The sequence below is a fragment of the Homo sapiens genome, chromosome 10 (assembly GCF_000001405.40).
Source record: "Homo sapiens chromosome 10, GRCh38.p14 Primary Assembly".
NCBI classification, from domain to species: Eukaryota; Metazoa; Chordata; class Mammalia; order Primates; family Hominidae; genus Homo; species Homo sapiens.
In genome coordinates, this window is record NC_000010.11 from 34,314,297 (window position 1) to 34,329,964 (window position 15,668).

Sequence of the window (15,668 nt, forward strand, 5' to 3'; positions counted from 1 at the left end):
TTTGAAAAATCTAACAATGCTTTAACAGTCTTCTCAAAGACTAATGACTATCCTCATCGTGTGAAGGAAGGATCAAGAGCCAACATTCAATAACAAAAAAGCTTATTTCGTGTTTAATATATTATTCTGAACTCATATTCAAGGGGCAATATGTGGCAACCCATTGGGAAAGGGCTGGCGCAGTGGTTTGCAATCTGATAGAACCCAGCCATGCCCAGGGGCACTAGACAAGATGCTGCCACTCTGGTCAAAGGTATTTATGTTCACCGTGGGGTGCTATGTTGCTCTGCTGGGAGAAGAACTCTGTTTTGTGGAATTCCATAGACTTCCTGGTGTAAACACTGCCACCATGGCAAATTTTCAGCTACCAGCATGATGTCACTAAACACGGGGCCGGGAAAAGCTGCACAGTCGTCATTATATAGTATTAGCCCTATGTCCATGCCATAAATGTAAATAATTTCAAAAGCAGAGATCATAGTAAAGTATAGCAAAAATAATTAGGAAGTGATGCATTTCAAGTATTAATTACCTTTGCTTTTTAGATAATGTATTTAATTTTTAATAATGGCTGTGTTTGACAACCAGCTTGCAAAGTTTCTAAAAATTGATCAATTGGCTCTCACCAGCCAAGGTGGGCTGATTCCAATAAACCAATGATTCCACATACCTAAAAAAGTATGAATGTCTGTTATTTTCTTAACAGTCATTCTTAAACACTGGGAGAATATCAGCCTAATTTTTAGGGGGAAAAAAAAACCTTCAGCCCCTGCACCTGCATATAGAATTTTATTTCCAAGAATATGCAGGGTCAACTTCTTTATCATAAAGCTGGCTTTCATTATAGGTTATGGGTACAGGCTGTAGATAATGATCTAGAGAAAGCATCATGTAATGCTTGATAGGACTCCTAGAAAAAAGAGAGTTGTGTGGTGGTGTTCTTCAAGGTCCCTTAGAAACAATACACATTTCTCCCACACTCTGCTCCTCTGGCCCCAGATAGAAAGCTCTACCATAGGCCTTTCTTTCTTCTGGAGTTGCAGGTTACAGAAAAAGATCACTTATAATTAATGGAATTCTAAGATATTAGAAGTATATTTTTTACTCCAAGACCAGAACAGAGCACTTAAACAGATAAATGTTGGCCAATGAATGAAAACTAACAAGCCGTTAGAGCTTTCAGTAAGACGTCAGGAGAGCCCCTGGAAGAGAGAGTGGGCTACAAGTCTCAGGGGAAGGTTTCTCCCATCTCTAACCCTGTAATTTGAAGAAGACAGTAGTACAGATTCCTTCCATGTTAACTGATGGGCAGCAGCCTTATTTCTGTGCACTGTGGAGGTGCCAGTTTATGAGCTGTCAGTCTGCACATATGGAACAAAAAGGCCCTTGGCTAACACAGAAATTGAAATAAAGTGGCAGTTAGAGCAATTTCTTCCTATATGATTCTTGAACACAGAGTATAATGAAGAAACATGATGAGGGGGCCCTGTGTAAACTAGAAAAACTCTAATGAAAAACTATGAAAATCCCACAGTTCTGAAGCACTGAGAGACAGAAATCTAATCACATTGAAAGAAAATACTGCTCATAGGCCAGGCTTTGTGTTAATATAAGTCTAGAGTTAACTCTCCTTCTTCTATGCACTTAATCAGACATCTACAGAACACATCTGTTGAGCTGTGTAGCCTTCAGGCTGGGCCATGGTTCCTCGACTTTCCAGGTCTGACTTATCTATACCTCCCTGAGTTATGGAGGTCAATTTCAGGATTGTAAATCAACTAATTCTATGAAAATGAAAACTGTTGTTCACATTTTGCAATTTAAAAAAAAGTTTTTAAAAAGAGGGGATCCATAATGCAGGATAACTACTTTTTGAAAAGTCAAATGGCTGTGCTGTATGTTTTCAATTTTAAACCATCACCTTGATATGTTTAGGGGTTTAATTTATGGAACAATCAAGCAATCTTTATATTTAACATTAAGTGCCTGAATATTATAAATCATCTTAGATGAACTTTTATGGGAGAGTTTCAGTGCAACTTCTGAACAACTTGTCACTTTTATTGTATGGCAATGATTTGTAAAAAATGATATGCTAAGTAATCCTAGAGTATAATTTATGGGCACAAAAACAACTGTCAAGAAACAGCCAGAGACCACATTTAATGAAATCTTTACAGACCGAAGTAATAAGTACTAAATTAATGAACGCAGCTTAATTGAAGCTCTATTTGTAACTTTTTTTATTAGACTTGTTATTAATGAACCTTTAAATGCTACCACTAACTTGAGCTCTATGTTTAAATTTAAATAATGAACCATTGTTCACACACAAAAAAGAACAAACACTGCTTTAATAGCCCTTTGTCTCAATGGGGCTTTCACTCTTATGCATAACTAAGATACAGACATGTCCCTCCTACCTCTCAACAATTATTTACATGGTTGGCAAGATATAATCATTTAGGCTGCTAAAATAGTCTGAAAATAGCTAACATGAAATCCATAACAAAGTAAAAATGAGGTAGGAAAAGATTATACAAGAATTTTGGTTGATCTCAAAGATAATGTTTTCAAATCTGTGCTTTCAGTGCTTTTATTTATTTATTTATTTATTTTAGAGAGAGAATGGAATGATCTGTTGCCCAGGCTGGATTTGGAATCCTGGGCTCCAGCATTCCTCCCAGTTCAGCCTCCCAAGTAGCTGGGATTACAGGTGTGCACTACCGTGTCCAGTTTTTAGTACTTTTTGCTAAGCTCACACTCCTGTATGTTTAAGGAGATTCTGGTTTGGGATGGTAACGACTTACCTGAACATGTCTCCCAAGCCCTTCAGCATTCCCTTCTTGGCTTTCATTTTATCCTTCTCCTTATCTCTATCTTTCTTCTTTTCTTTTCCAGTTTTATCCTTTTTTCTATCAGTCTTATCACCTTTCTCTTGGTTTCCATTCATTTGTCTCTCCAGAGAGTGGGAAGGCTGATCACTGGCTGTGGATACAGACTCTCTCCCTGATCTTGAACTTTCTTCTGTGTCTTCTTCCACTTGGAAGGAAAGAAAAAAAAATAGGGACACAGTGAACCAACGCAACAAAAATAATAAAGCTAAAATACATTCAAGGACTTTACTTTCCCACACTTTTACTGCAGTATGGCCCTGCTAGCAACATGGACTGCAATGCTGTTTAACTTTGAGTAGAATTAAAATGGAACATGTGATGTGGATGCCTCCTACGTGAAGATCGTGTGCCAAGTCAGTAGCAGCAAAACAGCAGCTTCCTGGTGGGATGCTGATGCACCCACAGAAACACCCTCTAAGAATCAGATTGTACACTACTAGGGGGGTGCCAGCAAGACCTTGTTATACAGCGCAGACCTCTAAGGGTCCCGTGTACTATATTTGCAAGATGAAAAGAAAGAAAATAAGCAGGCCTTCCCAAAGTGCTTCCTTTCTTCTTGGGTAAGAATAATGCAGATACACTCTGGCCCCTCATTAATTTGCTGGACTACACCATTCAATGTCAGCACAAGGACTTCTTTCCTTAGGCTCCCAACATATCCTGCTCACACAGAAGAGCAGATTATTTTGGCTTATATCTACAACAGATCTGCACAGCCTCTGTAACTCTTCTTTGCATAAGGCCAACATCAGAAGTAAATGCTACTATATATTCTAATCCTAAACAATCTTGCATGCCTATCTGCATCATGGCGGCTGAACAGAGGTAGAGGGAGCCATGAAAATGAGTAAATCAATAAGTGCACTTCTCTGGACTTTGCAGATAAAAGATCTGCTTAGTGATAACAATATTCCATTCCTTGAACCAACACTTCGTAAGCACATGGTCCAAGGGCACTTCAATACCCCAAACTTTTTGCAGTTGAAAGAACGACAAGTAACTGAAGTAAGTCTCCCCCTACCAAAAGAGCTTAAACATTTCTCTATTAAATAAGAAGCAGAGAGACACGTATGAACATCCACTCTCAGAAATCTTTCTTTCGAGACTGGTCACCTAAGGTTCTCCTCCAAATACAATGAGAATTATAGGGGGCCATAAGGTTAATTACTCCGTGAATTCTTAAGTCATTTTTCTTTTTCCAGCATCAACAAAGAAAGTATAGATCATTATTTCTGAGTTTCTTATAACAAAGAGCCAAACAGAATGGTTCGGCCTCTTCCCAAACTTTTGCAAAGAACTGACCTCCAAATCAAGTTAATATATCCTCAGTAAAATTCAGTCCTTCCTCTCTACCAGCAAGGAGCACTTTCAATAGCAATACACAATTATCGTGGGTATAATAAGACCAGCTAAAAGGGTCCCAATATCTTAGATTTCTGCTATTAAACCCTCACAAATCTGAAAAGAGACTATCAAATGGTGGTATAGCTACGCCCAAGTAACACAGTTGTGTTTTTTTGTTAAAAAGCCAGCTATTTATCATAATGCAAAAAACAAAGCTCAGAATTTTTTTATTTTTTTTATTTTTTTGAGGCTGAGTCTCGCTCTGTCGCCCAGGCTGGAGTGCAGTGGTGTGATCTCGACTCACTGCAACCTCCGCCTCCTGGGTTCAAGCCATTCTCCTGCCTCAGCCTCCCGAGTAGCTGGGATTACAGGCGCCCACCACCACGCCCAGCTAATTTTTTGTATTTTTAGTAGTTTTGTATTTTTAGTAGTAGAGTTTCACTATGTTGGCCAGGCTGGTCTTGAGCTCCTGACCTCGTGATCTCCCCGCCTCGGCCTCCCAAAGTGCTGGGATTACAGGAGTGAGCCACTGCACCCAGACTTTTTTTTTTTTTTTTTTTTCTTCTTCTTGAGACGGAGTTTCACTCTGTCACCAGGCTGGAGTACAGTGGTGTGATCTTGGCTCACTGCAATCTCCACCTCCCGGGTTCATGTGATTCTCCTGCCTCAGCCCCCCAAGTAGCTGGGACTACAGGCACACGCCACCACACCCAGCTAATTTTTGTATTTTTAGTAGAGATAGGAATTCACCATGTTGGCCAGGATGGTCTCGATCTCTTGACCTCATGATCCACCAGCCTCTCCTCCCAAAGTGCTGGGATTACAGGGGTGAGTCACACCCAGCCCAAGCATATAAATGACTTCAGAAACGTTAGCCTTCCTCTGAACTGCGAGTTATCTCATTGTAAGCCATTGTCTTCCTCCAAAGGACATGGTGGCTTTTAAGAAAATTTGCTCCTTTTCCTCGCTATTAAGATATAAATAGTAATTGTGCACGTTTATTAGAAGAAGCCAGTTACAACTAGAAGGACATAGTGAAAATCCATAATCTTACAAATAATACTGAGTTCAGGCTATAATTTTTTGTGGTGTACACAGAGCAGGGAAAGAATATCCTGGCAGTTGGCCCAAGGGCTTACTAATTATGTGCAGCCTTTTCAAATGAGAGCTCCCCCAAAGAATGTAAACATAGCTCAAGCAGGGCTGTAGTGTGTTGCTTAATGCCCTTGAACATGGCTGTGTTCTATCTGCTTGTGAACCAGTACTTCAGGTTTTTGAGATATGGGTGTGGCCACAAATGTGAGATAATTGACCAAATAATTACAGAACAATTCCCAGAAGTTCTCTGGAGCTATAAAAACCTAGGTCTATTGGTATACTCAAACTAGATAAATGGAAGCTAGTGAATTTTGTATAATTCCTGCATGGAAACCTCCTTTCACCTATACTTCCAAAGCTCTTTATTTGTACAATCTTTTATTATTGCACTTCTCATATGATATCACATACATGTCTCCCTCCCATTCTCTAAGCTCCTCAAATGAAGACTGTGGGGCAAACAGCAGCTGCTCATAAATGGCTGCATAAATGAAAGACTTTTGGTAAAAACTGACTTGTGACTTTATCCTGACCAAAACTTTATCTAATCGCCAGGTATCACCATTCCTCTAGCTTTAGAAAAATGCTTACTGTTCTCTCATCAAGCCTGACAAGACTAGCCACAATCTGACTACAGTAACACTAGGTAGGAATGCTCATGATATTTGGTTTAGCTCTAATTAGTTTCTGGTATATTTTCATGCTATTATTGTTAGTGCTGTATGCATCATTTAATAGATTTTACGACCCTCTACAATGTCTGAAACTATAAACAGAAAAATGAGCTCAATAAATGTAAATGATTTAGTCTTCCACAGCAACCATTATCATAAATCATGAATGGAACTATCAGTAGCGATTCTGTTAGTTTTCTGCCTAATAGTTTTGGCAGAAGTTCAAGGGGCATATGTCGGCTCTTGGCTTGGGAACAGAATAATGGCAGTGCCTTCACAACTCACTATATGCTGAAGTCACGTTTGTTGCCAATTCTTTTCATATTCAAAATAATTTTCTGGTGTATGTAACACAACTTATTTTCTAAAGTATGTGAAATAAAGTAGTATGAAATCAATTATTAGCTTCAGGTTTTGTAACCTCATTTTATAAAATTAAAAGTCCTACCTCTGTTTCCTGCCCCAAGCCAGTGGACTGTTTAAAATGACACTTGCACATTGGAGGATTCTTTATGCTTGTTCTGAACATTCTAAATTAGATAATACATTATCACAGAAACTCTTCTGGGGGTGTACTGATTTAACTAATCCCTTTGAATGCCAACTAATTAAAAATATTTAGCAATATGTAGCTTCATATGTACAAACATAAGATGTTCTTTTAAAGTACTGAATTATATATACTTCAAATTCTGAAATTATTTGATAGAGAAAAATCTTTATCCTGCTCCTATGCAGAAATATTGTAGTTTCAAAAGCTCAAATAAATTGGTTACACATGCTTAATTTTTGAAAAAAATATACATATTCAAAGTCACTGATGTACTAGTCAGATTTTAGGTTTTAAAATAAATCTGTACATTTAATACTAGCTTTATAATTAGGTACATAAAATATCTTTATTCCCTTAAACGAACATGCATATAAACAATTTTTCAAGTAAGAAAAGTACTAGTAATATATCAGCAATAAATGGCTTGATCTATTGTGTTCATACAGCAAATTACAAGGTAAGAACTAATCATAAATTTACATTTAGATAATGTACTATTTTAAGTGCTATATACATTTCTTGATTTTTTTCTCTTTAATTTTGCTCATTTTGACAGACTATTTGCTTTCCTTTTGCAGATACCCTACACAAAGAGCGATGATTATCTCCTTCCAAACAAATAGAAATTTCCATTTTTGACAACATTTCTGCCTGTTTAAACCTGCTCTATGCACTGAACTATCAGCTATGTTTCCATGTGATTACCTATAAAGATAGGCACTTTCAAGTTTCTTTTTTTAAAGAAGGTGTAGCATGAAGCTGCTTATTTCTCTTTAATGTGGCAGAGTCATTCTGCAATTAAGACATACCTAATTACCATGTTTTCAACAGATGCAAATGGAGCTCAATTAAAATTCTAGTCCATGTTACAAATTAAGGCACTCAACTCTGAAAGGTATCATGTTAGGACTGGATCACCAACAAGTTTGGAAAAGATCGGGCATTTACGTGTTAATGATGATGGAGAAAATGACTTTGGGTTTTCATTGAAGTGCAAAGTTCTGCAGCTACTGCCATAAATAATCTATTTCTATCTAAACTTTACAAACATTTTACAGTCAAGGTTGACTCAAAGCCTCAAGGTCATTAGAGTCTATTTCCCCCCCCCATTGAGAAGTGATGCTACTGTTGATACTATAATTTCTGTTGGCCGCTTATCCAAAATCCATTTCTCCCTTTATTCTTCCTAATAGAACTCTGTGTCCAGGAATGCAACCTAGCTCCAAGGGGTGAATTCATTATTAAGTTTATGGATGCCATACCCCTGCAGACTTGCCAGTCCAAGGTTATCAGACCAAGAATGGCCCCGTTGGACTCAATGGACATATCCATGCTTAGGGAGAGGGCTCATTCCCTTCTGTTAGACAGCAATAAGACAGTAAAAGGCCTCTGAGCCCTAAAATTACCCTATGGATAGCTGAATTATGGAATTATTTTGTGGGTAGCTGACTCATGGATAGCAGAGCAGAAGGGGCAGAAAAATGTTGGGTCTTTGGAGAAATCTCTCTGAAGAACTCTAGAACTCAAGTTATGTAGGAAAATGTATTTCCTTATTGTTTGAGTTGGTCTGAGTTGCACTTTCTATTACATATAGCTGAAAGCATCCTAAAAGGTACACTGCATAAAGCAAGTGTTAGAGCAACTGTGGAATATCTATTGTGTTATTTGTCTTAAGTGTATAATTTAGCAGTAAATATCATTTTAGGTAGCTTTGGCAATTTTACTAGATTTAAATAATTTGTTTAGATTTGCTACTAGATTAAAATGAATTGTTCAATGGGTATAAATAGAGATATACAAAACGAAAATATCATAGTATTACTTTGTATTTAAAACTCAACAATACTCTCCTCTGAGGGAGAGGCCCCAAGAAGCATCATTAAATACTCACTGAGCAATTAAATGAAGGACTGAATAAGCAGCCAACAATATGAAGAACTGCCCTTTGTTGCACCCATTTAACTATGAACTACCTTAGAATTAGGAATACTTAGTAATAGGAACACAGATACTTGAGCAATTTACAATTTATATTGAAAGATAAAGGATGAAATGTAAAAATTCTACACAGGGTGACTCAGTCTTCACAAGCTATATTCTTAAAACAAAACTTTTAAGTTAAAATGAGACATTCAAAATAGAAAATTTCACTGGATTTAGTAAATCCACTGACCACTACCAATTTCTGTTAGTGTTAGGTAAAAAGATAATACAACTAAATGAGGACTGGACTTTCAGTCGCTGCAAACTCCTGCATAGGAATCAAGAACGCTGGGGACATAAATATTGTTTTTATTTCTTATTTTGGTGGAACACTTTGACTTTGGAAGAGAAAGAAAGATGTAGGAAATGAACAGCTAGTGATACACAGATGGTGTCGAATAACATGATCTGCTCTTCTGGACTCTGACTTTTAACATTAGAATGATGAGCTCTTGGCAACAGAAAAACTTAGCTTTTCCTGAAAACCAAAAAAAGGAAACCACACACACACAAAGCTGGCATGAAACAGGAAGACTTTAGAGCTTTTAGACTAATACATGGGGTGAGAATAATAACTGATATGATGAAGACTGTGAGGAGGTAAAAAAGCTATGAAGGAATCAGGTGACATTTATTAGTGGTATTGTAGAGTGGTTTCAGCAACTGGGAGAAAGTTCAAATAGATGACTCCTCAGACACTCTACTCTAAAAATAGCTCTATTTCATTTTTAAAAAACCTTTCAATATATGTGGGTGAAGGAAGAAAAACAATAGGATCACTCTTTTAAAGAGTTATTACCAAAAACCTTTCTTCACTTTTACTTGACATTCTAAACTTCTCTTTAACCCATCCCCCTCAAATGAAGCAGGTAAAATGCTCCCACAGATAATGGTAGAATGTCACCTCCATTATCCCTCCCTTCCCTAGACAATGTTGCAGAGCAGGCACAATGAGGGTCACACCCTCAATTTTCTGAACCTTCGCAAATTCGCTTTTAGTGTCCAACTGATTTTAACATTCAAATGACGGCCCACAGTGGATGCTGTTTTCTGTCCATGGGGACAATTTAAAATGAAGCTGAAGGCTTTTTAAAAACCAATTCTGACCGAAAGGGCTGGCTACACAATCGAAATGACAGCATTCCTAACCCTACAGTTGGAATTGCCACTGAGAATTTTATTTTAATCAAGGAGTGAGCTTAACGTACACAACGTCTGTTTGAACAACATACAAACTATTATTTATGGTCAAAGAAAGAGATTTCAGGCCACTGCTCAGACTCTTTTGAGTGAAACACAAAAATTAACAGCATAAAAATGTTTAGAGATTATAAAATAGTGAATGGCTAGCAATGCTTTACTTTGCTTTTGTGTGTGTGAGGAATCAGAATGCCTGCTTCCCAAAAGCGAATGTTCTTACCTACCATGAAACATAATCTATATTGAGTGATCCGCAAAAATTTCCTGATGTTAAAAAAATAATTTATACTAAAAAGTCTCGGATGCACTGTGTAGAATCAGCTGGAGCTTAAGAAAAACTAGATTGTCGGGGGAAAAGTTTCTTGGAGAAGGAAGATGACAGTATAATATACACACATTAGAGGGCTGGGGAAGAAAGAAGATACACCTCACGAAGTGTGCACCGCATGGCACAGGCAAGGGTAAGCACGGACACTTGAGGGGCTGTGAGAGTCAGAAGGTGACTGCAGAGCTCACTGGGCACATCTAGAGACAGGAGGCCCAGTTGGGAGACACTAGCAATACCTTCTGATATTAAATAACGAGGGTCCGGCCTAGACTGCAAGTAAGGGGTGAGATTAGATTACATGTGGAAAGATTAAGAAAGCTTGGTAATGGAGTGGTGACACAGTGAGATGATGATTCCAAGTTTCTGAGCCTGGAAGTGCTAATGAGAGAAATCACATCATCATCATCATCCATCTTTGTGTGAGAGACGCTAAGCCCGTAAACAGTTTCTTCCTTTGCTCTGGTACTGCCAAGCATCATCGCTCACCTGGATGATTGTACTACTATCACAGAAATTAGCTCCTTGCCCTGACGTTACTACTTATCATCCCATCTCAATAAGCCACCCTCTACCCCAGAGTCCCATCATATTATTTTATTTGAAATGCAAGTAATTTAAAATAGTCTGTGGTTTGCTGTCTACATCTTTTTTTTTGAGATGGAGTTTTGCTTTGTCGCCCAAGCTGGAGTGTAGTGGCGTGATCTTGGCTCACTGCAACCTCCGCCTCCCGGGTTCAAGCAATTCTCATGCCTCAGCCTCCGAAGTAGTTGAGATTACAGGCATGCAGCACCACGCCTGGCTAATCTTTGTATTTTTAGTAGAGATGGGGTCTCGCCATGTTGGCCAGGCTGGTCTCGAACTCCTGATCTCAAGTGATCCACCTGCCTCAGCCACCCAAAGTGCTGGGATGACAGGCACCTACATCTTAAACCTCACTCCTCACTATGCTCTCACCTGCCCCATACACACCAACCTAACAGAACTACTGCAGCCCAGAGATGGCTCCCCATTCCCTATGTTCCATATTTCTCTGTGCATCCAGTTGAAGACTCTCAAGCAGTAACACTCAACTCGGCCAATACCTCTCTTCTGGAAATCTCCTCCTCTACTTTCCTCTCCTCCCTAATTCCACATCAGCTGGGCACCCCTACACCACCACCCCCTCCCCAGTGTCACACTAACTTACACACTACAATGGAACTGAACCACACTCCTTATCAAGTGCTCATTTATCCACTGGGTTGAATCATCCCCCAACCCCGAGCCCTTAGGAACTAATAGCCTAAATATCAGACTTTAGGTACACACTCTGCAGTAGTTTTAGCGCAATGGGCTTTCTGTTTGGAAGTGTGTTTCATATTCTAGAAAAACCACAGGACTGAGAATTAGAAGATACGCATTCTAAGATTCAGTTCCTAAGTGTAATCTTAGTCAAATATATAGATACTATTTCCTCTTAAAAAATGGGGCCTGGTGCGGTGGCTCACTCCTGTAATCCCAGCACTTTGGGAGGCCAAGGTGGGCAGATCACGAGGTCAGGAGTTCAAGACCAGCCTGGCCAACATGGTGAAACCCCGTCTCTACTAAAAATACAAAAATCACTTGGGCATGGTGGCACATTCCTGTAATTCCAGTTACTTGGGAGGCTGAGGTAGGAGAATTGCGTGAACCAGGACCTGGGAGTTGGAGGTTGCAATGAGCCAAGATTGTGCCACTGCACTCCAGCCTGGGCTACAGAGTGACACTCTTTCTAAAAAAAAAAAAAAAAAAAAGTTAGAAATGAGGATTCTATCATTCAAAACACTTCAGATGTCAATATTCATTGCACTTTCTGCTAAGTTACATTTTACCTAGAAAAAGAAATGCAGAGAATACCTTTGGTTATTTCACAACCATACACCCATACTATGATCAGAAACCTCCTAAAAATTAATCGAAGCTCCCTTTCTTAAACTGCAGGTTAAGTATATGTATCATTTTATTTGCATAAAATGATGTGATAGGTTATTCTTCTTCTTAGCATTTCAGAACAAGTATTTTTATAGATCAACATCCAATTATCCACTAAAATGGATTAACCAAATAGGAAACAGTTTACAAAGTACTCTGACTTTGAAATCTGATCCCAAATTCTTCCACAATAGATTTACTGTAATCCACTGTGTTTTGCTTATGATAAAATTATACTTAGTTTGCATTATTTTTGCTGAAATAGGTGGTGATGAAAGGTGGCTAGAAGTGGGTAGAATACTGAGAGTAGAAAATGAGATATCAAAGGCAATATGTTATTTCATAGCTAATAAAACAATAACAAAATTCCCCTAGAAGCTCTCATATTAGTTGATTTAATAATGTAAATTCAGTTTCTTCAAATTTCATACTGAAAACCTAAATTATGTGTATTCTGGAGCAGTGCTTTTCTCCTATCTCTTAATAAGAGCTCTATAGGAAATTATGCAAGCTACCTACTTCATGTTTGAAGACAATGCCTTCATGTTTGCAAGGCACAAAGTTTGTCACATTTAAAATTCTGAACTTGATATATCTTAAAATCAATAGGTATAATTAATAGGAGATATTTAGTTTTGCTGTTTCACTTCCTCAACCTTAACAAAAAGCTGTTACAAAACTGAGTGCAGGGCTTACAATTTCTGGCAACTTTTAATTACGAAAAAGTAGAATTAATGTATTTTTTAAAAGAAAACAAAGCAATCTTACTGCATGCATTTTCTTGGTAGCAATAGAAACTGATTTATCATGGGGAGGAGAAGTCGCTTGCTGAGAGCCAGGCTGGGCATGTAATTTGCATAGAAGAGGGAGCAGATTGTCAATGCCCTGACCTGTCAAACACAGGTAGGGCCTCGGAGATAATGGGTCCCAGAATACAAAGCTCCATCTTGATCCAGACAGACGCACACAACATGGAGAGGCCAGATGGATTAAATGAGACACAAAAATGCTGGCTTCTGCCATCTCCACAGGAAGAATGTAAGTGCTGCAGAAGATGACAGATACCAGATACCACATGGATCCCACCCCAGTCTCTTGGCCCCATTGCTGTGCCCATGCCATGATTTCCACACTGCTGAGAAGAGGCCAGCCTGTTCAGTGCCATGAATATAGTCACTGGGGAGGGGCTCGACCCAACTGACAAAAGCAATCAACCATGCCTACGCCTATGTGTCTTACTTGTAAAGAGGAAAAGTGCCACATGATGATAGAAATCAGAGCCTGCAGCACGGTGCAAGGAGCTCTCTGTTCCTGCTGACCTCCATAACTAGCTTTTCCACAATGGCTCAGTCTCTAGCCACGCATTTCCAGGGTGCACTGCATCCTCAGGAAATGTCCCATGTGACAAAAAGACCATCTGCCTAGACGAGGGTCCTCTTTTCAGATCCAGGTTCAAGGGGGATGTGGCTTTTTAATTTCTACGGGCAGCTGTAACTGAGTTGGACCATCGGGACAAGAAAGAACCCACTTCCCCTGAGGCCCACTTAGCACAGACAATAGAAGATGTTGGACATGCAGCCAGGGGACACATAGCTAAGGGACAAGCCCAGAAGGGCAAAAATGCAGGAGCATAGCCACAGAGACAGCAAGTCCAGAGACTCCGCTGTGCAGGTCCACAAGCCAGACGCTGAAAATGGTGTGGTTAGGAAGCCGAAGGAGGGCTAACTGAGCCAGCCTTCTTTCCAAAGCTGGAGGCAGAAAGTGCCTTCGCGTCTTCAGTTTTATGTAAGCTGACAGCCACCAGCAGTAACACCACATTTGATAGACAATTTTTTTTTAAACAAAAACAAAGAGTTTGCTGAAGTATTGAAGATCTAGTGCATACAAGGTCCAGTGTGGGATACCTCACTCACCCACTCATCGATTTGGCAGACATTTATTTAATTCTATGATTTGCCAAGCTTTGTGTTTGGTAATGCAAGATGGAAATAGATGGGGTGTTTTCCACATGGGCCTCGCAAAAGGTGAGGGGGTTAGCGTGCCAGAAGTAGGGCAGTGAGGGGGTACATAGAATCATGGAATGTTAAACTAGGAAGGACTTCGGAAACCATCTAAACCATCTAAGCCAGAACTTTTACAACTTTTTCCTAAATACTCAAAAACACCCTTTTTAAAAACTAAAATTTACAAAGGATCCCCATGTACAGAAGTGAGTAAAACAACTGTGAAGGTGGTGGTGGGGGGAAGGTGACACTGGTGGCCTTTCCCACTCTCCAAACCCATTGAGGTACTGCTCCTGACCAGAGATCACAACACACCAGTTGAAAGTCAATTATCTAGTCCAAATCTTCAGTTTTACAAATGAAGAAATTAAAGCTCAAGCAGTTGAAGTTTTGACTAAAATCCCAAATTACTTAGAAGAATGTAGAGGAGGATGCAAGTCACCTGAATTCCACTTCTGTGTTCATTCCACCCTATAAACACGATTTCAACAACCAAAATTGGAAAAGTTTGGAATTTACAATAGTTGCCATTCATTTGCCATATGCAAAGTTCAGAAGACTGGTATGCAAAAAATAATAAAAACAGGACTTTTGAAAAATACAACATTTGGTGGTTGTAGGTGCAGCGTGTTTTAGGGCACCTGCCACACGTGTATTTCCCAGGTCTTGTCCAGAACTTTATCTTTGGTTTGCAAATTGTAATTTGCCTATCCATGTGTTTCATTTCACTTTTTTTCTCTGAAGGACAGATACATGAATGAACTTTAATATACTGTTATTTCTCATTTTGTTTTTTAAAAAATAAGTTTATATAGGGACAAAATCAGATGTCCATGTTGGTGGGACACTCTGGAGGCTATCCCTACAGAATTAAAAATATACCTTATATTCATATGTATTCTATCTCCTGTTACATTTGAAATGAGTGAAATATTATAAGAGCAAACTGCATTTTTTAAGGAAAATTAAATAACATTTTAACCAGAACAAGAAAAAAGTTCAAAAGCATCATTATAGATACTTAAAAAATATATATCAAGGGGCCAAAGCATAGTAATTTTTGATTAAATATACACCCAAGACAGAGAGAAGCAAGCTCTATAATTGTCAAGTAATATTGATTAGGATGGCAAGGAACCATTATTACAAAGAGAAAAAACTCAATAGGGTCGAAAGCTTATATGACTCAGGATCTTGGAGACCAGGTTTGGCAGCAAAAATAGTAAATATGCTCCTCATCCTGCAAGAATGGGCTGCATATATTCACAGCCGGGAGGAAGAGGTGGGCCTGGAGAGGACACCAGGAGGCTGCAACTGGGTCTGGAGAGGCTGACCTAAGGAAGTTCTGGGCCTGGAGAGGCCGCCAAAAGGGAAAAACTGGGCCTGGAAAGGCCCAGTTGTGAGGAATCTGATCATAGTGACAAAACTGCCTGGATTTAGATGGAGAATCAGGTGGAGGTGGAGAGAAGTGTAGCAATCCTCTAAGTTATGCTTCGCATATTACATTATGACAGAAATATTCATCTTCCCAAACGCATTATATGTATAAGCATTATACGTATAAGCAATGTATATTAACGTATATATACATATACATTATATGTATATGTATATATTCTCAAAATGTGATCTTTATTA

The 15,668-nt window shown here is 38.9% G+C and overlaps 1 protein-coding gene across 11 annotated transcripts in view; it reads right to left on the minus strand.

The window, feature by feature from the left end:
• The window catches only part of PARD3 (par-3 family cell polarity regulator), a 705,736-nt gene that overhangs the window by 204,736 nt on the left and 485,332 nt on the right, over positions 1 to 15,668 (minus strand). For all 11 annotated transcript variants that reach the window (NM_001184790.2, NM_001184791.2, NM_001184789.2 and 8 more), the window contains one exon: positions 2,811 to 3,042. In NM_001184790.2, coding sequence (NP_001171719.1) covers positions 2,811 to 3,042 — 232 coding nt within the window. The remainder of the gene's footprint in view (positions 1 to 2,810; positions 3,043 to 15,668) is intronic.